This window comes from Homo sapiens, chromosome 12 (genome assembly GCF_000001405.40).
Source record: "Homo sapiens chromosome 12, GRCh38.p14 Primary Assembly".
In the NCBI taxonomy this organism is placed as follows: Eukaryota; Metazoa; Chordata; class Mammalia; order Primates; family Hominidae; genus Homo; species Homo sapiens.
In genome coordinates, this window is record NC_000012.12 from 15,107,153 (window position 1) to 15,133,748 (window position 26,596).

The window sequence follows — 26,596 nt, forward strand, 5'->3', positions numbered from 1 at the left end:
GACCACACTTAATATCACTGTTCATGTCTCTATATTTTGATTCCATGCTATTTCCTTTGCCTAGAATATCTTTACCATATTTCTTTCTTGGATAACTCTCGTGTATACTTTAAGGCTCAGATCAGACACCATCAAATAGACTAATTTGTATCAAGTTACTTGTCCAACATGTATAAAGATTTGTAGTGAGTGAACAAAAACATAGTTAAAGTGAATTATCTGCTTCAGTATCTTCCCCACTACAGCTCAAGGATAAGAAGTATATAATGGTTAAAAATGCGAGGTCTGGAATCCAACTTTTTGACTCTTTGGGTTCAAATCCTGGTTCTACACACTAAATAGCTATGCAAAATTGGCTTTACTACATTTTCCCCCTTGTGACTCAATATATTTATCTCTACAATTGTGCTTACAGTACTAGTCTTGCACAGAGTGATTGTGAAGATTTGATAATACATAAAGTACCTAAAATAGCACCTAAAGACTCCAAAAGCAGCTAGTTTAATCAACAGGAGCTAATTTTTTTATATCAGGCTCACTGATTTGTCAATTTTGCAATTCAGTTGTCCCCTTGAGTCTCCCTTCAAATTATAAATGTTTCATGTTATCACAAGAAAGATTACCCAAATATGACAGAATGAGAAAATTATGCTTTTTATTATAGTCACATAAAATAAAGTCAGTTACATCAAGTTGTCCAAATGCATTGGTGAATTAATGCCGCTAACGCTTACAAATTTTTATACATATATCTATGCATTTATAAATACATACATATGTAAAAGATATATATTTTCTACTAAAATAAAGTACCCAAATCTTGATATATATAGGGGCATAATGGGGGAGAAAAGAATCATAAGGTTTTATCAGTTGTAGACTGTACTTTCAGAATACAAGAGTCTGTTTTAGACACATTTATTCAGCTGTAATGAACTTTAATCACCCATTCTTTTCTGAATTCTCCTAAGTGAGTTAATGTATCCAAAATATCAAAATAAGTCATGTGGCAAACTTAATGAATCAGAGGCTAATTTTTCTTACTGTACCTGGCTCAAAGTCTAGACTTCCCAATGGAGGCATGGTTAAGCTCCATTCTTAATTTGCTTGTCTTTTGGACTGTGGTTTTTCTGCTAAGGTGATAAACAAATCAGATGTCTCTAATTCTACATCTTCTACTAGCATTCAATAAAGTCAGGGTTTGGTGAAAAGACTTCCAATGTTTTTATATCACCCTGACTTGATGAAAAAAGGCCCAGCAGGATGTGAATTTTGTGTCCTATTGCCTTTGTTATAGGGAAAATATTGTTTGAGCCAAGGAAGGAGAGTTAGGGTGTAATGATCAATAGATCATTGAGAGAACCAACTCAAATTGAAATGAATTCTCTGTTATAGTGAAAAACATTAGTGAGAAGATGCTTGAACTGAAGAACAAAATAAAATTTTAAAGAAAACCTAGATGATATTAGATAATTCAGAAAATCCTCACTTCAAACAGAAACTAGAGTTCCTTCTATTTCCTGTTCCAATAGCTCAGCTTCTTCTCCTGTGTTTTTACTGTATTTTCTGCTATCTTAGACTTTTAAGAAAATTATTTGTAGTATCTGACAAGAAATTGAATTTTTAAATGCCTTTGCAAAAACTTCAACCTACTTAAAGCAAGGTGAAGATGCCTAAAAATAGCTTAACATAAACCAGTCATTTCAGAATCTCTGGTGATTACATGTTCAAATGCCATTAGAGTGTATCTTATTCAAGCAGGAAAGGAAGAAATTGTTAGCACTGAAATTGCATAAAACACGCTAAAACTTCCCAACCTATTAGAGGCCAGAAACAATGGGAAGCCCAGACATTTCTCAGAATCCAAACAAAGAATGCAATATTTTGTTTTATTTTTGAAAGGGGAACAGAAGGGGAAGAGTGTTTCCAATTAGTTGGTCCACCTCAGCTGGGCTGCCTAACTACTGATTTTGGTGAGCATCTTGTTAATGGCTTGCTTGACATGCGTGGTGGAGCTGCGTCGCCTCGTCTTGCCCTGCACCATCCTCCGGCGACGCACCTCTCGACACAATTCATAGAATATCTCTGTGATGTTCCCTTCTCCAGTGCAGGCAGAGCACTCGTAAAAAGCACAAGCCAATTCTGTGGCCAGCTTCTCTCCTTCTTCTGTGCTAACCTGCCTGGAGTGGTCCAAGTCAGCTTTGTTTCCAACCAAGATGAGAGTCACATTCTTGGGCTTTTTGATCTCATCTAGGATGTTCTTAAGTGGCAGCACTTCCTCAAAACTTCCTCGGTCAGTAATGTCGTAGACCAGCACAAAGCCTTCCCCCCATCGCATGTGCCCCTCCCTCTGAATGGTATCTTCCTGTTGGCAAAGAAAAATGGCCGTCAAGAGACCTGGAAATAATCAAAATATATGGATGCTGGTAATGCTGACAGTAATGCCTTAATTACTATTCTTTATATCCAAAGTCATTAAAATGTCGTGGTACTCTAATTGTACAAACTTTCTAAATAATTTTAAATACAGTCATGACTTATCCATCTCAACATATTTCAGGGAACTGAATATTTTCTAATTTAATAGATTTTAAATTTCTGCTTTTAATTTTTTTCTTGCCATATCATTAAATCTGTAATCATAAAAACTAAAAAGAAATTATAATCTTAGTTGAGCACATCACTTTTGAGACTTTTCATCACAATTAAGGACTTAGCAATTTTCTAACAGACAAGTAGCCCCTATTCCACCTTTTAAGTATCAGAATTAGAGTCAAAATTTAGCAAGATGCATTTTGGTTTATTTATTATTTTTTTGGTTTGTTGTTTGTTTTAATTTTCTCTTTCTTCAGATTATAGACAATTAGACTCCAGAAAAACTGTGACAAACTATTTAGAGAATCCAACTCTATGCTAAAGGATTTGGCTTTTTTTTTCTTTTCCTATCTCAGAGCCCCCAAAATGTCGTGTAGTACCAATGACAGAAACTCTATTGAAGGGATTCTCAAAGTGGGTTATCACTCCTTCATAGCAAAGTGGCAAGCATGATTTGAAAAAACATTGCTTTCCCGGGTTCAAATGACTTCTGGAGGCATGCACCTCCCTGCTGCCTCTCTTCGGAATCAGTGCTCTGTGAAGGTCAGAGAATAAGTAGGTGGTGATGAGATGGAAAAGTGGAAAAGTGGGTAATTCATTTCAAGAACCTTTCTGGGTTTAAACACTTTGATTCAAGTCTTTTTGGGGGTCACAGGTAATTGATAAAGTACCATGGAAAACTTTAGCTTTCTGTCATTCCAGTGGCCATTTTTTTCTTTTTTTTTTTTTTTTTTTTTTTTTTTTTTACTGAGACGGAGTCTCACTCTGTCGCCCAGGCTGGAGTGCAGTGGCGCGATCTTGGCTCGCTGCAAGCTCCGCCTCCCGGGTTCACACCGTTCTCCTGCCTCAGCCTCCCCAGCAGCTGGGACTACAGGCGCCCACCACCATGCCTGGCTAATTTTTTGTATTTTTAGTAGAGACGGGATTTCACCATGTTAGCCAGGATGGTCTCGATCTCCTGTCCTTGTGATCTGCCAGCCTTGGCCTCCCAAAGTGCTGGGATTACAGGTGTGAGCCACCGTGCCCAGCCAGTGGTCATTTCTGTACCTGGAAACTAAACCTATCTATGAACCCTTTTTAATCTCAGAAGTGACCGACCTAATACCAAATATTACAAGAAAGACATCTAAAATGAAGTATTCTGAAACAAACTTATATGACATCATGTGAGTTTAGAATACAATATATACTAAATCTCTTTCTTAAAGACTCACACACAAGCCTGTTAGAGGCTCTGAGAATTCTTTCAGTAAAGACACCTGTTTAACTTCATTTGAGCATTTCAAAACACATTTGACCATGAAAACTTATTAATATCTTGCTATGCCACAAAATATAGGTGAGAGAGTCTAACCTAGATGATATGTGAATATTATAGTATTTTCAAAACCCCCTTGAAACACTGGGCAGTTTATATAAGGATGAATATACAGATATTTACAAATATGTTAATATATAAAATGGCTAGTTAATTAGAGAAAAAGGTTTTAGGCATGCAAAAGTTAGTTGAAGAAAAGTGCCTTATTTTTGTTCATAGCATAGATTTCTCAGTTTTATTTGATCCAGAAAAATATTTTAGCTGAACTCTTTATTCACCTGACCAGCAGTGTCTAGTATCTCCATGGAAACAACTTCATCATCGATGGTTGCTTGGTGTCGGTAGGTTGATTCTAAGGGAATGAGCAAATAAAAAAGACAAAAAGATAAATAAATGCAAGATTTAATTTGATCCTTAAAACTGAAAATGGGCATGGGAGAAGTATTCCTGATTTTACAGCATAAGGAACTGTGTAGTCTAGGAAAGAGAGGAGAGATGTGCAAAAATGTAGAATCTTCATTCTTAGCTCCTGGACATACCAAGTTCTAACATGGGTGTCACCGACTTTCAGAATGTAGAATAGGGGGAATCTCTTTGCATCTTTGCTACCCTATACTTTCCTTTTTTTTTTTTTTTTTGACAGGGTCTAGCTCTGTTGCACAGGCTGGAGTGCAGTGGTGCAATATCAGCTCACTGAAACCCGGGTTTCAAGTGATTCTCTTGTCTCAGCCTCCCAAGTAGCTGGGATTACAGGTGCCTTCCACAACACCCAGCTAATTTTTGTATTTTTAGTGGAGACAAGGTTTCACCATGTTGGCCAGGCTGGACTTGAACTCCTGACCTTAAGTGATCCGCCTGCCTTGGCCTCCCAAAGTGCTGAGATTACAGGCCTCAGCCACCGTGCCTGGCCCTATCCTTTCCTCTGAAGATTCCATTTTATTTTTCTGAAAAGCCAGCTCCCTGGTGCTCTTTTCCTTCTATAATGAGACCTCAACAATGTAAATTGAGAAGGTGATTTTCACAAAATGCATTCTGCCTTGGTCCTTCTAAAAATCGAGTTTTTGGAAACTGCTGTTTCTAACAAGATAACATACCAACAGAAGCTACTAATTTCCTTTCAAACCTCAGCTCTGGAAATGTAAGAGATATTACCAGGAAGTGAATGGTTCTTGCCAAATGATGTAAAACTACGAGAAACTCTAGGGGTAGTAAAAGGTGGTCAGACCCCAGTACTGGCTGGTTGGTGAGGAACAGTAATCCAAAGTAGGGGAGGGCTGGGCAGCATGGAGGGGAGGTGGAACTATATGGAGTCCTCTTGCTTATGCTGCCTCTTCAAAGCAGAAAAATGGCAGATGCTCAGTACCAGCTGGAGGTTGGTGGATCAACAGCAGAGTGGTCACCAAGCTATGTGAGGGGAAGGAGAAGTTAGCAGGTGCAAGAAGACTGGGTGGCCCTGAGTATGCCCCTCTTCACATAAAATGGAAACCACGGGTCAAAAATAAGTGCCAACTGGTGCTTCTCTGTATGAAAACTAGAACAACAGAAATAAAGAACCGAATGAATGAATGATTGACCTGATGAGAGTTAGGTTGAGGAACTCTCCCAGAAGTGTCAGTAAGTGTAAGTAAGTAAAACAAAGGAACATGTAAAAGTAAAATTTAATAAAAGGTATGGATAATAGAACAAGAAATCTTAGTATCCTTTATAAAATGAGCCTCAAAGGAGAGAATAAAATACATAGAGGAGTGGAAATTATTGAGGTTGTAATGACTGAGAATTTCTCAACGTGAGGGAACAATGAAAGATTTAAGATCAAAGGAACTAGCAGGACGCATGAGGAAAAAGCTCTATATCTAAACCTATTATGACAAAATTTAAGGATATCAATGAGGAAGAAGTCTAAAGGGATTTAGAGAATAAAGCACATCACCTACAAAAAGATATGACTCAGACTGATGTAGGACTTTTTGCCAGTGAAACTGAATTCAAGACGTCCATCAAAACAATAACACTACATCAACATCAATCCTGGCATTACAATTCTAGATGATTCTATCAGTATATCAGGGTGAAGATGGGGGAAAAGGCCAGAAGCAAGTTTATGTGAACTAATGTACTTGTCTGATTCCAGAAGATGTTATAACTCTTAAAAATCTAGAAAAAGTGAACTAGGTATTCAACTCAATAAATTAGAAGAGAAGAAACAGAATAAATTCAAGATAATATAAGAAAAGAAATAAAAGAAAAAACATCATGAAAAAGAAAACAAAACCAAAGCATGGTGTTTGAAAAGATATAAAAAGAGGGCAGAGCTATAAAGATCTGACAATACTGCCATTAAATTAAGAGAGACAATGCAATTAAAACTTGGCATTAAAAGAAGAAATTGTACATTCTGCTGAAATAAAAATAAAATAATACGAAGTTTATAAGCAATAATTTCAAACTCATAAGTTCTGCAGAAAAATACAGTATCACTAGCATTCTTCTGTATCAGCAAAAGCCATGTAGGAAAGGTAAGAGAAAACAGGAAACTACTTCCAATAGTAGTAAAATAAATAATATTTAGGAAGTAATAAAAATGAACAAAACCATTCAAAACCCTCCAAAAACAAAAACAAAAATTTTCTAGAATAGAAAATTTTAGAAGTTTGTAACAGAAAATGAAGACTTGAATACATAAGAAAATCCTAGGAAAATGGAGAAACAACATCTTTAAAAACATGTCAGTTTTCCACAAAATCAATCTAGAATTTAATGCAATTCAAATGAAATGTCCAGCTGGACTTTTTGAGACGCTCAAGAAACTTATTTAAAATTATATAATACTATATAACATTACTCCAAACAGTGTGGTACTAATATCAGAATGCACAAATTTACCAAGGCCTTAACAATAGACTCATATTTATATAGGAACTTAGTATATGACTGAGGTGGCACCACAAGTCACTTAGGGAAATAATGAATGGTTCAATCAGTAGCATTTGGATTAGAACCAATAAGAAAAGAATTGGCCACTAAATGCACAAAATAAAGTTGGGCTTCTAGGGCATATATTAAAAGTAAATCTGGATGAATTAGAGATCTAAACTCATCTAGATTTGAAGAGTGAAACCTGAAGTTAAAAAAATTAAAAGTAAGAAAATATAAAAGCTCATGCACAGACCAAAAAAAATGAGATAAAAAATAAAAGGGTTGACTACATTAAAATTAAGAATTTTGTGCAATATTAAATAGGCTAAAGACTGGAGAACATATTTGAAACATGATAAGCAAAAAGTTGATTAATATCTAAAGTATGAAAGAAATTTTAGAAATTAAAAAGATAAGTGAACAGGAAAGAAATACGGCCAAAGTATACAAAGAAGAAATTCACATAGGAGGATGCCCAATTAGCAAAAACATATATCAAATGATGTTCTACCTGCTTACTTACCAGAGAGAAGCTTATAAGATGATTTTATGACCATAAGATTGGCAAAAATTATAAAGTTATAAAGCTAGGTAATATAATGCCTGACTAGGTTACAGGCAGCTTCTCTACACCGACAATGAGAGTGTAGACTGTGGTACATCATTTTGAAGAGCAATTCACTAGTGTTCGGTGTGGGCGTACCTTATGATTCAGCAATCTCCCTCTCAGGTACATGCACTAGAAAAAACCTGGTCCAGGTTCTTACAGCACTGGGTCTCAAAGTGTAGTGCCTGAACCAGTAACATCTGGCTCACCTAGGAACTTGTTAGAAATGCAAATTCTCAGGCTCCACCCCAGACCTATGGGCAATCTGTGTTCTCACAAGTCCCCCAGGTGATTACGGTGCATGCTAAAGTTTGAGAACCACCAATTTAAAGGTATGTTTTCCCCAGTGATGTTAGCAGTAGCTCATATTAGAGGCAACTTAGGTGTTTATCATTGGGGAGATTAGTTAAATGTGGCATAGTAAAGAATACCGTGTAGAAGACTAGAAGTAAATATGGAAAAATGCATGGATCTTAAAAATACCAGATTTGGTTATAATGATTAGAAGTGTATATATATAAATATATAAAAGTTATTTAAATTTAAAATATATATACACAGAACACTATTTTTCCTAAGTAAATATATAATAATAGCTAGCGCATACTGCTTCTATTTGAACAACTGTTCTAAACACTTATGTTAACTCATTAATCCTCACAAATATCCAATGAAGTATATATTGCTATTAGCTCCATTTTACAAGAGGAAACTGAGCTGTAACAAGATTAAATAACTTGCCCAAGGTCACACAGATAATAAATGGTAGAGGCGAGATTTGAGTCAGGGAAGACCAGCTTTGGAGTTCAGGCTTGTAAATACCATGCTTAGTTTCAAACACATTAGACTCTGCACTTAAAGGAAAGAGGAAGGCAGTGGGTGTCAAAATAAGGGATGAAAGGGAAAAGAAAGAGGAATAATATAAGGCCTCCCACACACTAATAATAGCATAACACCATGAAACAGAGCGGTATGATTAATATGATTATTAACTCAATTCTTTGTACCCAAACTACCCAAATCATTAACCAACCAACCAACCAACCAACCAACACAATAAACTCAGAAGTTTCTGTTGTCATGGGGGTAGCCTGTAAGCCGGTGGTTTTGTAATTATTTTTTCTATCTACCTCATGTTTCTGACTTTCATTTCATCAACTATTTTGCAGTCCTTTTTTGACCGCTGTTTTCTGTTACTTTACTGTAAATATAATCTCCTGTCCAAAATACAAACTGTAGAATGCAGCTTCGCCAGCCATATCCTTGCCTTCTACTTCCATCAGTACTGTGTAGTGATCATTGCCATAAGCACGGCACATTGCTCAAGTATTTTCCAAAAAGTAAAATTTAAAAATTAGATTATGTTCAATATTTTAATAAGTGTATTTTATGTTATTGTCATTCTCCTAGAATATGTAATCTATACATGGTGTATGCACAGTGATTCGCAATTTCAGAATATTCCATCCCCCTACTCTTTTATGTTAAATTGGAGATTATAGTTTTGTATGATTTAATGCTCTAAAATACTATTTACAGCAGCCACTTGTCTCCAAGTGTTCTCCCAACGATTTTCTTTTTTCATCTTCAGTGCTGCAGCGTGAGGAAGAGCAGCCCATTCTGCATCACGCATGCTGGGGAGCCATGCCCTTTGGCTTCTCCCTCTGCTGTTCTTTAGTGTCCTTTGTACCGACTTCCCTTTTGAAAAGACTGGCATCAGCCCCAGAGACTGGAAAACAGAGTTCTGGGCTCTATTCCATCTCTTTGCACTAAAAGTTGTCTGAGAGACAGGGACATTTTTCTGTGTTGCTTCCATGATAAATAGGGTATGTATTTCAATTACAGAATGCCACAGTAGGAGGGAAATGGAATATAATAAAAATTATATGAAGTTGTGTGATTCTTTGGCTATTTGTTAACTGAAACAAAAAGGATAAAATGCAGGAAATGAGAGAATGTCTGCCCCAGACATAGCAGCGTGTGGTAGCGTGATTTTGTCTAAGGTGAATACTGGGTTCATACCATTTTAAGCATTTTTTTTTCTTTAAGCTTCTCTCTCTCATTAGAAGCCCATTTTCTCTACGTGTAAAACAATGGAAGTATTGCCCGAAAAGGTAAAGTGTTGTGCATCTACGTGCTAACTTTTCCAGAGTTAACTCTAAAAAAATGTACTAAGTAGTTTTTGAAATTAGACTCCACTATGCATCTTAATACATAAAAGAAAATGTGTATGTGTTTGTTTGGTGGATTTGCTTTTGATTTCGTTCATACTAAACAAAAATAATAAATTGAGCCTTTTTTGGTGAAGGGTGGGGGGATGATTATTTAGGAGATAGTTCCAAGTGAACCAAAATATAGTATACTGTAAGAAAAATATGAGTTTCAAAATGGAATGAGGCATTAAAAGTTACACTTCAATTTCACTGTGAGAGATGTATAATTTAAAATCTGCACTCACTAGTAGTTTAATAACTAGAAGCATATTTTATGTAGTCAAAGAGGAGTTGGTGCTCAAAGGGATATTGCATGTGGTTAATCTTTTTACTGATTTAGCTTTTTTTTTTTTTGCGAATTTCAACACTTTAGTATGGACACTTAGCCAGCACAGTAACAGCAGCAGTTAGTTATGTTGATTTATGCCACAATGGAAATTGTACTGAGTTGAGTTCTACTCCTAGTCTAACCACAACTGGACATGTAATTTTGATTAAATTTACTTCTTGGTACCTGTTTCCTTATTTGTCAAATGACAATCTCTAAGCTCCTTGCAGTGCCAATATTAAATAATTAAATAATTCTATGAGTTGGCTAAGCACTTCTGCTTTAGAATCTGGTTAAGATAATTTGTTCTGGGTGTATCTATTTTCGTATGAACGATTCCAAGCAGCAGGAGTTGTAAGGCAGGCAAGAAGAACCAATCACAGAACCAAAGAACTAGTGGGTCTAACGTCTCCTCATTCCCATCCTCATCTGCTTAGAAAACTAAGCAGATTCAAACACAGTGCCTCCAAGGTAACAGTCGCAGTAGTGATAGAGGCTGAAATACAGTCTCTCTCTTCCTCTCCAAATGCCTCCATCACACACGCGCACACACACACACACACACACACACACACACAGTCACAGGCACACACATTCTAAGCCTCTATCTATATTCTCTGTGGTGACCAGCATTCTTAGAGGGTAATATGACTCTTGGAGATAGGGATTCAATTCTTGGTTGGGATCCATTCAGAACATGGATCCTGTTGTTCTACAATCAGATAATTGCTGCCACCACCATCAGGGGGTTTTCATGGTTAGATGGTCCAACTCGCACATCTTATGAGCTTCAGTGGTGGTTTTCAAATGTGGTTCATAGACATCTGTGTGCTGGCCACCCACAAAGATTTCACCGATCCACAGTATAATAAGGAAAATTAAAATAAAACTAAAATTGTTCAATGTAAGGAACTGATTTTTTTTACATTGTATCCTTCGAAACACTCGGATGTTAAAGCAATTTCTTTCTTTTATGAAGTGCAAGTGGAGCGTAGGTTTAGTTCCCCCTCCCCCATTTCCTTCCCTTGCCTGCATCCCTAATTGAATTATTAGGATAGGCTTTCTCCATAAAAATCAAATTTAAAAAAGTGAGTCTGAAACCGAAAAGTTTAGGAGTCACTTGCTACTATAGTAGCAAGCATTTTCTTCATTGAATTATTTCAAAGCAGTAAATATTCTAATTGAGTTAATATGTAGAATGATGTTCATAGTCTTCAGCTTCTCGTGGAGTAACAATTCTGTTCCAGGTTTAAAAAAAAACTGCCCCATGTTTCTCAGGAAAGCACTGACTTCAGAATTCAAGACTGCTTCTTGTATATAAGCTACTTGGCTTTTTAATGTAGTTATCTCTTTTGGTGGTGGTTTTGAAACTTTTAGTCAAAGTAGCTGATATGGTTTGGATCTGTGTCTCCACCCAAATCTCATGTTCATTTGTCATCCCAAATGTTAGAGGTGAGGCCTGGTGGGAGGGGATTGGAGCATGAGGTGGTTTCTCATGGTTTAACACCTTCCTTCGTGGTGCTGTCATCACAATAGTGAGTTCTAGTGGGATCTGGTTGTTTTAAAGTGTCTGGCATGCCCCCCCCCACCCTCAGTCATGGTCATGCCACGTAAGATGCCTGCTCCCACTTTCCCTTCTGCCGTGAGTAAAATCTCCTTGAGGCCTCCCCAGAAGCCAATGCTTCCACGCTTCCTGTACAGCCTGCAGAACCATGAGCCAATTAAACCTCTTTTCTTTATAAACTACTCAGTCTCAGGTATTTCTTTATAGCATTGTGAGAATGGACTAATGCAGTAGCCATGTATTCAACAAAGAATCCTGTCTTCCCCAAGGTATTATGAAGTTAAACTCAGGAAATGCTCATTTCCCTTGAATCAAATGGATGGAGAACCCCTCTATGCTGGAACAAAAGTGACCTCTTGCACACACTCATATAGACACACAAATCCAGCCTCCAGTGTGAGAGAATTAATGAAGCCCTCACCTGGGAATGAGTCATGTATCCATTACTCCTGAAGTCTGATGAAAGTGCTTGTTGCTTAGCAGCTGCCATCCTCTTTGAGAAGTACTGTACAAGGTCACTCAATAAAGTTTCATTATTCTTACTGAAGGAAGCCCGCACTATACATAACTGATGCAGGCAGATTACTATTAATAGCAGTTTTTTTTTCAGATGAATAAAACAAAAGAGAAAATGGTTAAACTAAGACTAATTAAGAATAATAAGATTAGGTACTGGAACACATTCAGGGAGAGTTCATTTTATGAGACCATTTTTTATAAGCTTCATCTTTCATTGAGATATATGGATACAGCAATAAAAAATTTGTATTTTTAAAATTAAACTCCCATTAATCATTAAGATTCTCAGATAATCTATGTAAAACTTATGTAAGTAATAAAAATATAAGAGAAGAATAAGTATTCACTTTGGTGGGTAAAATAATAAAGAATAATTTTTTTAAAAAATCGGGTGCATTTTTAGATCCAAATATATCATCTTAAAATTAGTGTGGCTACATTTAAAAATATGTTGAAAAATTTGGATGTGAAAACTCTGACCTATTTAAAAGCAAAAACAGAAGAATAAATAATAAATGTAGAAACATGCTATTCTCCTAGATTAAAAGGTGGAATAACATAAAGATGTGGATCTTCTCAAAGTAATTTATAGTTCTAGTACAATTCTAATCAAAATCATGTCATATTATTACAGAGTTTCTAAACTTGATCTGGAAAAATCAACTGAACAGAGTAGCCAAAATAATTCTGTAAAAAAGTAATGAGGAAAGATGTTCTCTACAAAGTATCAAAATGTTCTGTACAGCATACAATTAACGAAAAAGTGTGCTGCTTCTGTTTGGTGTGAAAAGCAAATCTAGAATGGTGTCCTGGTGTAAACAATTCAACATATGAAAAGATTGCATTGGAAGTAGTGGAGAAAGGTAGAGAGTATTTAATAAATAACAGGAGGAAAATTGGTCAACGATTTAGACAAAAATGTTGGGTTTTCACCTTGTACTTCTTACTAAAATAAATTTCAGAACTATTAGTCAAATACTAAGTAAACCATAAGATCATTCTCTATTCCCTTCCTTATTGTTTTCCTTCACAGAACTTATCGCTATCTCACATATATTTGCTTGTTTATTGACTCTTCTCTCTTTCCTAGACTGTGCACTCAAAAAAGCCAAGGCCTTCTCTTTCTGTATACTGATTTATCTTTAGCACCCAGAACACTTTGACACACAGAAGGCGCTTGATAAACATTTGTAGAATGAATGAATAAAAACAATGAAAGAAGTCTTTATCCCTTTTAAACTGAAAATCTTGGAGTGACAAAAATAAAACAAAACAAAGAAATTAAAAAAAAAACCAGGAAGAGTGTTTGCCTACATTTTATACATCAACATTATTACTATTTTTAAGATCCACAGACATCATATTTTGCTGCTTCTTCTCTCCTTCTCTCTCTGTAACAGGCTTTAGTCGGATGTATTGGAGAGAAGAAAAGAGAGAAACATATTTTATTTTTCCCTAAAATCCATATTCAGTAGTTTTATTTTTCTGTTACTCTTCTCAGGATACCATTCTATTACGCACCAAATTTTCCATGTCCGTTTTATCCTCTCTCTCCCATTAGAATGATACTGCATTTTTCTTATGTGAGGGAAGTGTGTTGTACCCACTTCCTTTCCTCATGGCTGAGGCTTGACCTAATTTCTTCATCTATGCATTAAAATCCTGCAGGGTTCTAAGCACAGACAGCATGAAACACACATCTAGCCTCATAGAGGGCTTCTTTGCATGATTTGAAAAGCACTTCCACATCAGCTAAAAGGAGCTTAAAAATGTTGCAACAGAAAACATTATTCTTTCTTTGGGGCCATAAATTTTTATTGAAGAGGAGAAGGAAACAAAATTTGACCTACCGAGGGTGGGATCATATTCCCAGATGAACCGTTTGGTCAGAAATCTCACTACAAGAGCTGTGGAAGAAAAGAGCAACATTTCAAAAAATAATTTGTTAATTTGCTTAGCACACCTATCTTTTTAAGGAAAGCGAAATGCTCCACACAACCCTATAAATGCTTTATATTTCCTTGATATATAAAACAAATAAATTTTTTTATGTTTATTCAAGTAATTTTCCAATTTCATATTATGGCCAAAAAACCATTGTAATATTTGAATGGGTTTATTGTGCATTAGTCAACAATTAGATTTGTTGCTTTAGTCACAAGGTTAAAAACAAAACAAACAAAAGTATAATGTGAAAATGCTTATATATAAAATTTTTAGTAAAATGATGAATTTAGATATAAAAGGTCAAAATACAGGTATCCGAAGTTTGAATATTGATAAGGATTGGCAAAGGCAAGTTTGAAATGTGATAATTTTTAGTGTAATGAAAGCTCACTAGCAGGTCATTTGCATTTTAAAAAAGTAGATATTCAAAATTAAGGATTTTTATTAGAGATCTGTGAAAACTCATCAAAAGTAGCACTGATAGAATACAGTCAGAGTCAGGTTCTGGAACGATGCTACGCAGTTTGCTTGCATGATCTCCTCAATCCTCACGTCATCTTTATGAGGCAGGTACGATGTTAATTCCCATTTTTCAGATGAGGAAACTGAGGCACTGTGGGGTTAACTCATTTAATTAAGCTTATCTAGTTAGTTAGTGGCCTGCTAAGGATCTGAATCCAGGAAGTCTGTAACTTATCCATTGTATCAAACTGAATTTAAGTCCTAGGCCATCTGGATAATATTTAACTGGAAGATGGGCTGGAGAAAAGCATGGAAATATGTGGACTCTATTGTCCTTATAAATTGATAAGACATATGCCAAACATTTTCTTACACTTGTAGTATAGTTGAAAACAGTGGTTTTAAATTAAAAAAAAAAATTGGAGCGGGATGTCACAGGCACTTAAAAAATGGAATGAAAGCATTGGATCCTTTTCCTGAAAAAATATACATACACACATTTGGCATATAATTTAGCAGGCTCATGAGCCCTCCATAGACCCCTGATGGCCTCCCAGGGATCCCACTGACCTTAATGAAAGATTCATTGTCTATCATATTTTACAGTTTTAAAATACCCATTATAATGTGTATTTTTATTTTTACTGAAATGCCCTGAATGTAGCAGCCAAAGGATACTCCTTGAAGAAATAAAACTAGTTAGTGGAAGGTCACTGTCAGTCTTTGCCTAGTCTCACTTTTAGGAAAAACAGAGGTATAACCTTCCTCCTGTACAGTTTTATATGGGAGATGGCAGTGTAAATTGCATGAGGACTTCGCAAAACAGAGCACAACGTGGCTTCTTGACCAGGGGCCGGAGATGGAAACTACCAATGTTCTTTGTAATTACAGAGTGTGAGGCTGAATTCGAGCCAAAATATTTGCAGTGCCTAAAGTAGCAAGGCCACTGACCCTGTAATACTTCCCACAGTGACTGTACTTGTGGTTTTATCTGCAGTCTTCAGAGTCTGTCATTGTCATTCTCTTGAGACTGAAACTTTTATTTTTACATACAGGAAGCAGTAAGCAGTAAACATATTTTTTCTTTTGTACAATTAGCAACATTAATAAACACCTAACAGCTTGCACGATTTAAAGAGTTCCATCTTTTGTTAGACTACGTAGTTGTTTTTTTTTTTGTTTTTTGTTTTCGTTTTTTTGACACTCTCCCTCTGTTGCCCAGGCTGGAGTGCAGTGGTATGATCTCGGCTCACTGCAATCTCCACCTTTCGGGTTCAAGCAATTCTCCTGCCACAGCCTCCCGAGTAGCTGGGATTGCAGGCGCGTGCCACCACACCAAGCTAATTTTTGTATTTTTAGTAGAGACGGGATTTCACCATGTTGGCCAGGGTGGTCTCAATCTCCTGACCTCGTGATCTGCCCACCTCGGCCTCCCAAAGTGCTGGAATTACAGGCGTGAGCCACCGCGCCCGGCCAGACTATGTAGTTTTAACACTAAAGGCTGCAACCTAGAAAACTTAATTATCTGCCATGATGAAAAAATGAGCTTAATTTTTTACATGAGCGAAGTTTACAGTTCTTCAATTCCAAAACCATTTAAATTTGAATCATTTCTCAAAATATTTAAAAAATGTATTAGACAGTCCATCAGCTTTCAAAACCAAGTATACTGAACATAATTGAATCATTTGTAAATGCCTGGATGTCAGTTAAGAACCTTGGTTAGTGCCTGTGCAGTTATGCAGCAATACTTTCTGAAGCTGTAGAGTGGAAGAGGCAAAAGAACTCTAGAGTGCTAGAGTTTTTGAGCATATATATGTGTATGAATGCTCAAAAACTCAAAAAAGTTATATATATTATTATATAAATATATATATATTCAAAACAGTTGTTTAATGTATTAAATTTAAATAATAAATATATATTCAAAATAGTTAATTTATTAAATTTAAATAATAAAATTTTATCCCAGTTGTATAATTTATTAAATTTATATAATAAATATTAAAACTTATTAATTTTTAAGTTTATTACATTATTAATACATTAATAATCTAATTTAACTATAATTAATGAAAATGGGTACTATAAAGATTGACCTAATTTCCTTTTGACTCCCTTCCCTCTCCATCCCAACTATCTTGAGCAAAGTTTGTCTTTTGAAGTAAAATGGTGGTATTGATTTAAGGCCTTGTTGCTCCAGAAGTTTTAAGGTTTGACATATTTGATTAGTAGTTACTGTTGAGTCTCTGCCTTCTGAAATATTTTATTTTCTTCCCATTGCCTGAACAACCCCTGCCTTTCCATTAAACAAGCCAAACATGTCCAATGGCTAATGTAGGGAAGACTGTTTTCCTCCTTTTGCCTAATTTACAACCTACTTGGCTAATTCTTCATCATCTGTGGTTCTGTTTTAGTATTACTGGTAGTATGAATTTTATGATTATTAATGAAAATTGGTTTCTAACAAAATGGAAAATTTGGTAAAGAAACATTTAATCCAATAAAATATTTTTAAAAGTCACTTAATGTAATCATTCAGTGGCATGATATTCCATTCATAAGTAAGAGCTAAAAGGTAAAACCACTACATTAAAATAGTCACGTTATTTCTAAAAATTAACCAATCTATGCTGGTTACTCAAAATAATTCCTGACATCATTATCAAGAAGAAGCAGGCATCAGGAGTGCCAGATTTAGTTTCAGAATAATATTTTAAAATGAAAATTAATTAGGTATGATCTGTACAATAAATCAGCTTCAGCAAGAAATGAACTCTTCAAGGTAAATGTAAACTAACACACATGCTATTCCTTATTTAAGAGTCATATTCAAGAGAGATTCAGGCAAAACTTTCAAATGCTACCTTTCAGTATCATACTTGAAAAATATGTCATTACTTTTCTTTATAGAATTCATGAAGTAACTTGATTAACAATGTATATAATGCAATTTTTTTCTAAGATACTTAAGCATATGTAACCTCCTACACAGTTGTGATTGTTCTTTTCTATAGGTCCCCAGGCATACAGCTATTGCTATATAACAAATCCGCTCCAAAACTTTGTAGCATACAACAATAAGTATTTATTATGGAAAAATGCTGGAAATTTTTTTTCCAGCTGGAAAAAGTATTATGTATTTATGGGACTGTGGTGAGTTGATTGCATTGGAAAAATGTAACTAAAAGTGTTTAAAATGGCCAGGACAGATTTTTTTTTGGTTAGGAAAAGAATTTCTGCTCCAATTAAAAGTGCTTCAAGGAATATTACTCATAACCTTCACATCATGAATGCCTTTTGAATTTTGTCTATAATCCTAGTAACATACCCTATAAAGACCCTTGATATTTAATATATACTCTACAACAGTACAACATTCATATAATAATGAAAACTTACTATGGATGTATATTAAGTGATTTATATCATTTTCATTCTGTAACCTGCAGTACCTTCACAAAAAAATACATAGTTACCTATAAGTTGTATAATCACGTAACTTTAAAATACTTTTCAAGGGACTTCTACAAAAGTTTGCCAACTTTGGGACAATTCTGTCACAAACGGTTTCAAATATTTTGTGAAAAACAAAAATCTATGTTATATAAAGAGAAGGTAAATGTGGGTAATACTAGCACAACTTTAGTCCGTTATGGGTTGTGATATGTATATTTACCACTTGTTATCTGAATTATTTTTCCTATGTTTATTTATAATAAAAAAGTTAGAAATGTTAAAGCTTAAAAACTACATGAATAAATTATAATAAACTTACGTAGTATCCTAAGTATGAAGCTTTTCAAGGTTGAGATGCCTCCAGGAGATAGAGTAGCTCTCTTCATTTCTCCTCCATTTTCATTTCATTATAGTACTTACAGTTTAACTACTTGATCTTACCTTGACCAGCAAAATTCAGGAGGCAATGACATACATTACCAAGCCCAGAAAGGTTGTAAAATCAACACTAAATTGTTTTCAGTTTGGTTTTTATGATCTATAGTTAAAATGTCATAATAAATAAAGCAAGTGTTTAAAAAATAATGGAAAAGAGAAGAATGAGAGGATTTAATACAACATGGGAACTGTTTTCTCATTTCATTAAGCATGACCTCAATTTAAATAATATTTTAAAAATTATAATGGAAAAAGTTTAAAAGTAATGCAGTAGTGTTATAATTATTCATCTTCATTTAGTGTATGCTCTATTCAGTTAGGCATTACAGTAAATATTTACACATGTATCTTTACTCTTCACTTCCTTATAGTGTGGAATATATGGATACGGATATGAATACAATGTATGTATATTGGTGAAGAAACTGAAGCTCAAGTTGTTTACATTTCTTCCTAAAATGTGAGCCTACTCTTTCCTAGCCTCAGGATCTACATTCTCTTTTTACAGATGAGGGCTTTGCTACCAGGGAGCTTAAGAGTCTTACTAATGTATTCCTCTATTGTCTAAACCCTTAATTTGAAAAATTCCATGGAGAATGTTGTATATACCATATATATATATATATATATATATGTATTTACACACATACATTTTTACATATATAAACATTCTTCCATTTGAAAAAAATGCATCGTCTAGTCTCAACCTTCTTTTGTTACAAAAGAAAAGACTAAAAACCCTGGTGAAAATGAAACCTGAAATGTCTATTAAAATCTGATATTTTAGACATAAACTTCTGAACATTTATTATCCTCTTTTATTGCCTAGGTGTGGAGCACCAACACTATTCCCTTAATTCTAACACACGTGATGTGCTAACACACATACATAGACAATGTAATTATCCTCATGATACCATTTTGCTTCACCATCTTAATTTACTTGACTGTACATTTCTTACAGGGTTTATTGCTATTATTTTAAATATAGTGCAGGGATCATTACATATTTGGAGTGTTCCATAAATACTTGCAAGCTGATGTTAGTTTAGCATAGCGCCCTTAAAAGCCCAAATAAACTAATAGCTTGTCAGTATTTTAAGCTGGTAACCCAGAATGGAACTAAGTCAAAGAAAGGGGAAAAGAAACACATATTTAAAATGTACTAACTCATATCCAGATAGCATTTCTTTTTCTTTTTCTTTCTTTTTTTTTTTTTTTTGAGACAGAGTCTCGCTCTGTCGCCCAGGCTGGAGTGGCGCAATCTCGGCTCACTGCAAGCTCTGCCTCCCGGGTTCATGCCATTCTCCTGCCTCAGCCTCCCCAGTAGCTGGGACTACAGGCGCAACCCGCCACACCCGGCTAATTTTTTTGTATTTTTAGTAGAGACAGAGTTTCACCGTGTTAGCCAGGACGGTCTTGATCTCCTGACCTTGTGATCCGCCCGCTTCAGCCTCCCAAAGTGCTGGGATTACAGGCATGAGCCACCGCGCCCGGCCCAGATAGCATTTCTACCTGCGGTATCTAAAGAAGCATCACCTCCTCTTTAAAGTCTTTCTTGGCCTTTCCAAGCCATTAATCACTCATCTGTGACATGAAATTGTCTTTTGTGTCTTCTCTGTTATATAATGTGTACAATTACCTTGTAAACATTTATTTATATTCTTGTATGTCTTAGAAATGGTGAATGATCTGAAGTCAGAGATTAAGCCTTGTTCATCTTTATGTCCCATGGCTGGCATAGCACTTGACACATATGTGCCCAATAGGTATTTGAGAAATGAATGAGAAAACAATGAAAATTTCTTTAAGCTATGTGGCTCCACTATTGCTATTGTGCTTGGGCCTGTACTCTAGTATGTTTTTGTTACTTGAAAGACATGTTCTTTAAAGTGGAACTTTCATTTCTTGAAAATATATTGACTACTTCTCTGGTCGGATGCCAGTCTGGTCAATCTATATTGCAAACCTGATTGAGAAAGGCAAGACCCATCACTCTTACTCTCCTAGGCCAGAGGAATTGCTACCCCTGACCTCACACCACTATCAGCCCTAAATTTAACTCCAACTCTTAAGTGGTCAAAAGACTTCAGAGAAGTAAAAATGAGCATTATTCACAAAAATAGAGAAGACTCTACCCTAGATTTGTGGAGATAGTTTATTACTGAATGAATTAATTTTGTGGAACTAAATATCCATTTATTAATTATATTAGTTGTTGGATTAAAGTGTATATGCTTTTAGAAAATGCCATTAGGTAAGTTTTAGCTGTATCTTAAATAAAAACACTACTGGGATTTCTTGAAGGTTAAATATCAAAAGGAAGCTTAAGTATATATTAAATACTGACTTTAAGCTAATTTAATTTTCATAAAAACCCTTAAAAGTAGAAATTAATGTTCCCACTATACAGATAAGAAACCAAAGCAGAAAAGTGAATAAACTTGTCTAATTTACAAAGCAGTTAAGTGATAAAACTGATATGAACCCAACTCTGTTTACCTTAAAACCCGTAATTTTTCCAATATACAATACTTTTCCACTGTATTTTAATATTTCTATGTATACGATATAATTCTACATGTTTGATTTTTTTTAACGTGAGCGTACATCTTATGGAGAAGCATGCTTTGAGAAGGGAATATTTTGCTTGTGATTAGATTTATTCTTCCTTAGTGGAGAAAATATCCATGACCAGAAACCATGGCAACACAGAAAGAGAACATGAATTTCGTGAAGCAAGAAGAAAACTTTTAGATAAAGAAGATTTTTGTTTTTTTCTTGAAAACGTCTTTAAGAATGCTGTAGATGAGGAAAACAAGTATCTGAAGATGTAGGCGATGAAGCAGTATGCTAAAAGCAAATGTTTTCTTATGAGTTTCCTCAGTCATTAACAATAAAAATTAGCATACCAGGAACCATTTTTAGGCAGTGAGGAAGTCAGCAAAGAAAATAAGATACAGTTTCTATTCATAAAGTGTTGTAAGTTTGCACCTTTGCATGTCCCAGGAAAAATATAAAGATATGTGGGTAATTTTGAATAGTATCCAATTGAAGTCCTGTTATGATGTCTAGAATTCTTACTGCAAGGACTGGGTAAAAGGGAGGCCAGATTGAGGTGAGCTGGACTCACTCAAGTGCCTCACAGGGAGCAAAGCTTGTGTTTTCTGGAAAAACTCTAGCAGATAAAATAGGAGTAATGTGTATGGTGTGTCAGCCTTATAATGGTTTGTCTTCCAGCTTAGGGACAACAACGCAGTGGGTCTCCCTAAATAAGAGGCAATTCAGCTCCTTCTTCTTCCCTCCCTCACCTGCACCTCGAGCAACCTCCTGTCAAATCAAGCCTCCAAATCGAATTTTCCAATTCCTCGTCCCCTGGGTCCAACACTTTTAGTTCTTCATACCTTGTTCCTGGGTCTTCTATCACCAACCCTCAAGTTCATGTTCTTTTTTACAGCAGTCCTTACTCTCTTTTCTGTGACCGTTCTGGTCTCCTCCAAGAAATATGGGTCATTGTGCCTCAGAAGGAGATGTGAAGTATGAGATCCCAGGACCGAGTGAGTCCCGGCCTAGAAAGCCACATGGGGACCATGACAGCTAGTTGAAGCTTCGCTTTCACAGCTGTTGGTGATGGCTGAGACCAAGATTATGCCAGTTTGGAATATTGGAGCCCTTAGTCAAAGGAGATGAAAAACTATTTCTGTACTGAAGAGCTGTTCTGGAAGGGAATGGAAATGAGCTGGATTGGAAATAAGATGTCAAAAAAAAAAAAACCCTCAGAAAATTATGTGATTTGAAATGTCAGATCTTTAAAAAAGGGGGGCTCAGAGCAAAGATGTGTACACAAAAACTAGATTTCAGATATATTTGCTGATAACTGAATGCAATAATTTTCAAATGCTTATCCATTTTGATCTCCTATCAAATCTATCTCTCTTTCTCCACACATGTGACTTTCACACACATTCATTTAGTCAATAAATATTTATTGACCACTGTGCAAAGCACCAAAGAAAGCACGACTGAGAGGATGCCTAGGCATGATATTAGAAATGACTTTATATTAAAGCTAAGCCATAAGCTGAGTCTTAGAAGATTGAAGCTCACTATTTTAGGAAGAGCATTTCAAGCAGAGAGAAGGGGCCAAGACACAAGAGAGCTAGTTCAGTTAGGAATCACATGTGGTTCAGGGTGGGTAGAGTGGCATGTAGGGGGAGCTATGTTGGTAGGGGGTCAGGTTGTGAGGTTCTTTAGAGCCCAGACTATAAAGTAGCTCCTATGTCACACTAAGGAGCTTGGATTTTACTCTGAAGTTTTTGAGCATACAGGGGTTCTGGGTAGGAGAATGGCTCAATTTGATCTGATCATCTTGGGGACCATTCATTGATTATAAATGGACAGTGAGGGAGAGGGATTAGTGCAAAGACTCCACATGAAATAAAAGTCTGGGGGTAGCATTATTCTTTGAGAATATAATGGGGAATATAATGGGAAAACAAATTAAAAATGATGTTGGACTTGAACATGTTGAACATAAGACATTAATGAAAACATAATGTAGAGAATTGCCATCCATCCATTCATCCATCCTTTATCCTGCCATTCATCTGCCTATCTATCATACATACACAATTATTGAATGTTTATCATGCTCCAGGTACTGTGCTAGGCACTGCCCCATAAGCAGTGGACATCAAAGCCTGAAGCTGTAGGGAGTGATCCTTGCCAGAGTGCCACTTTCTGGTGGGTGGTGGCATGCAGTGGGCATGGTTAACATGGTCCAGGTAGATAGTTTAAGTAGAAGAGGACTTAACTTATAATTCTATTTTCAGATTCATCTCATGGTGGCATCTCTTGCTTTTTATGTTCTCCTCCACCTAAACTCCTCAGATGTTTTAGCTAAACTAAAAAAGTTAACAGATGAAGCCAGGGGACAAATATCTCTTCATATAGTGATTATTTCTGAAGGAACCCTTTCTCTTACCCCTTATTTCACCTGTCCTCTTTTTCTATTCCCTGTGAAGGTCAAAATAAATTGACATTGAAAAAAAAAACCATTTGGCTTTATAAAAAATAAAATTGAGCAATTTAATGGAAATTTAAAATGAATGCTATATAAAATGCATGCTTTGTAATGCCAGAAGTTAAAATGAGAAGTAAATTAGTTCCAGATGGGGGTCTAGGGATTGCTTTTAAATTACTGTGTTTGCTTAAGCCTGAAAATTTTGACCAGTCTTGCATTCTCACAAAAATATCATTGAGAACACATCAGTTCTCTGTACAAATCATTTTTTAAGGCTAAGTGGTGTAATCTCCAAGAATTATTAGGGAAACACTTTTGTTTTTGAAAATCTAGCCTGGGAGTCTAGCTTCAGTGCATCTCAAGTCTGGAAAATTGACTTTTTTTTTTAACTTGGAAATGGTAAGGTAAAGGTTAATCTGATCCTGGTAATTTGGTTTTAGGCTGACACACGATGAGGGGAAAAATGGCAGAATCATTGCTTTTAATTCCTAACATGTTTGAAAAGCAGTAGAGATATTGGAATGCTTAAAAATAATGCAAAATCAAGAAAAATCTTAATTTTCTATAGAAAATTAACTTGTATAACTAAATGACACTATTTTGCTGAAGAATTTAAATTGAAAGTAAAAACAAGAGAAAATAAATTTGGAATATGGTAATCAACTAATTTGGCTTTATCTTTTTGTTTCAGTCTTGAAGGTTAATAAATCAAAAGGGTTTTGTGTCCAAGATTTCAAACCAGTTTTATATAAGTTGAAAAATATTATTTATGTTAATTTTAAAAGTGATTGTTAATAAATAAATTACTAAATTTCCCAAGTCAGTGTTTTTAATTTAATAACTTATATTTCATTCCAAGTCATCATGCTTAAACAGAATTATTTGTAAGGTATTAAGCATTTTGTTAAGTTGCCAAGGGATTTGGATATAAAATTTAGATTTTCAATTTTTACTTTTTCTTGGAGAAAGAAATACTTATGATGTTAATGCCTAAATTTTTTTCCTACACTTATGTTACTAGGGCACATAAGAAATTGACAACCGAAAACATTTGGACTTTATTGTGGACATAAAAGTGACTCAGAGTGACTAAGTATCCCAGAGAAGCAGAGGTTTATGCCATCTGGCATAAACCTCGCTGGATGACCTCCTTATACAGATCCTAGGATCTTACAAGTTACTCTCTTCATCATGTCCTTTTCTCTAGACTGATCTGGTTTCCTGTCCATATGGACACATACAGTTCATTTGCAATTCCTAAATAGGCTGTGCCCACGGATTCTAGTCCAGGGGGAAAACCTCTAACAGTAGGGTGTCTCCATTTGCAGACCAAACACCACTCCTATGGCTACCTTTACACCCCATAAGAAGACAGGAAGCCTTAAACATATGGAGAACCAGGGCCTGGTGAAATAAGGGTGTCAGTGGAAGGAATTATGGGTGTTTGAGCTGGAAAAGCACCCCCATTATGAAAAGCTTATAAGCCAGCCTAAGAAATTTCCAATTATGTTTAGGATGCTGGGAAGCCATTAAAGTGTTATAAACCAAAATATGACATGAACATCTTTTTGTTTTATAAAGGTCACTGCTGTTTCATTGCCAAGATGAACTAGGAGGATGAAGGTAAGACTGGAAACAAAAGGCTTATTTAGGAATCATTTCCAGTACTACAAAGGGAAAGAAAGTAGCACTGAAAGGTTTCCCTTTCACTCCTACCATTACTAAATGTGTCCAATAATAATTGGAAATATACAGTATGTGACCTATTTAAATTAGCTTCTTTTACTTTGCAATGCACATTTAAGGTTCATCCATGCCATTGCCTGGATTGATCACTTATTTCCTTTTATTGCTGAATATTCTATTGTATAGATATACCACAGTTTGCTTACCCAGTAACTAAATGAAGAACATCATGGTTGCTCCCAGTTTTTGGCAATTATGTTTTGGCAATAAAGATGTGCATGCAGGTAACTGTGTAGACATAAGTCATCAAATCAGTTGGGTAAAGATTTAGATGTGTGATGGCTGGATTATGGTAAGACTTTGTTTAGCTTTGTAAGAAACTGCCAAACTGTTTTCCAAACTGGCTGTACCATTTTGCATTCCCATCAGTAACGTGTGAGAGCTCCTGTTGTTCTACATCCTTCTCAGCATTAGAATATAGCTTTGTCAGGTTTTTGGCTTTGGATTTTAGTCATTCTAATAGGTGTATTGGTGTCTTGTTGTTTTAACTTGTAATTCTCTAATTACACATGATATTGGGAATATTTTCATGTGATTATTTGCTATCCGTGTATCTTCTTTGATGGGGTGTCTGTTAGATCTTTGGCCCATATTTTATAAATGAGACGTGATTTTTTACAGCAATTTTAAGTTCATAGCAAAATTGATCAGAAAGCACACAGAGTTTCCATATACTCCCTGCCCTCCCTGCCCCCGCCCTGCCCCCCAACACACAGCCTCCCCCATTATTCATATCCCACACTAGTGTGGTAACTTTTTTTTTTTTTTTAACAATGATGAATCTACATTGATACATTATTATTACCAAAGTCCATAGTTTTTACTATGGTTCACTCTTGGGGTTGTATATCCTGTGGAGATATATATATATATATATATATATATATGTACATGTAACTATTATAGTATCATGTAGAACAGTTTCACTGTCTAAAAGTTCTCTGTGTTCTGCCTATTCATCCCTCTCTTCCCCCTAAATCTTAACAATCTCTGATCGTTTTACTGTCACCATAGTGCTGCCTTTTCCAGAATGTCATATAGTTGGATCATGTAGTGTGAAGCCTTTTCAGATTGCCTTCTTTCACTTAGTAATATGCATTTAAGTTTCCTGCACGTTTTTTCATGGCTTGAGAGCTCCTTTCTGTTTAGTGCTGAATAACATTCCATCGTCTGATGTACCACAGTTTGTTTATCCATTCATTTACTGAAGAAAAACTTAGTTGCTTCCAAGATTTGGCAATTATGAATAAAAGTTCTACAAATATCCACGGGCAGGTTTTTGTAGGGACATACATTTTCAGACTATTTGGGTAAACATCAAGGAATTTGATTCCTGAATCATACAGCAAGAGTACCTTTAGCTTTTAGTAAGAAACTGCCAAACTGTCTTCCAAAGTAGCTACACCACTTTTGATCCCCACCAGCAATGACTGAGAGGTTTTTTTTTTTTTTTTTGCTCCA

The 26,596-nt window shown here is 35.5% G+C and overlaps 1 protein-coding gene and 1 long non-coding RNA gene across 5 annotated transcripts in view; both read right to left on the reverse strand.

Moving 5' to 3' along the window:
• Positions 1–630: 630 nt before the first annotated feature.
• RERG (RAS like estrogen regulated growth inhibitor) overlaps positions 631–26,596 on the reverse strand; it is a 113,635-nt gene continuing 87,669 nt past the window's right edge. For 2 of the 4 annotated variants that reach the window (NM_032918.3, XM_047429797.1), the window contains exons 3-5: positions 13,911–13,967; positions 4,192–4,265; positions 631–2,365 (exon numbers count right to left, since the gene is read on the reverse strand). In NM_032918.3, coding sequence (NP_116307.1) covers positions 1,958–2,365; positions 4,192–4,265; positions 13,911–13,967 — 539 coding nt within the window. In that variant the 3' untranslated portion in view covers positions 631–1,957. Of the gene's footprint in view, positions 2,398–4,191; positions 4,266–11,962; positions 12,127–13,910; positions 13,968–26,596 lie in introns of all 4 variants that reach the window. The other 2 variants (XM_047429798.1, NM_001190726.2) reach the window with 2 other exon arrangements.
• RERG-IT1 (RERG intronic transcript 1) lies at positions 5,211–7,469 on the reverse strand. The gene is made up of 2 exons (NR_046560.1): positions 7,353–7,469; positions 5,211–5,317 (listed from the first exon to the last, which is right to left on the reverse strand). It is a non-coding gene; the product is annotated as an RERG intronic transcript 1 (long non-coding RNA).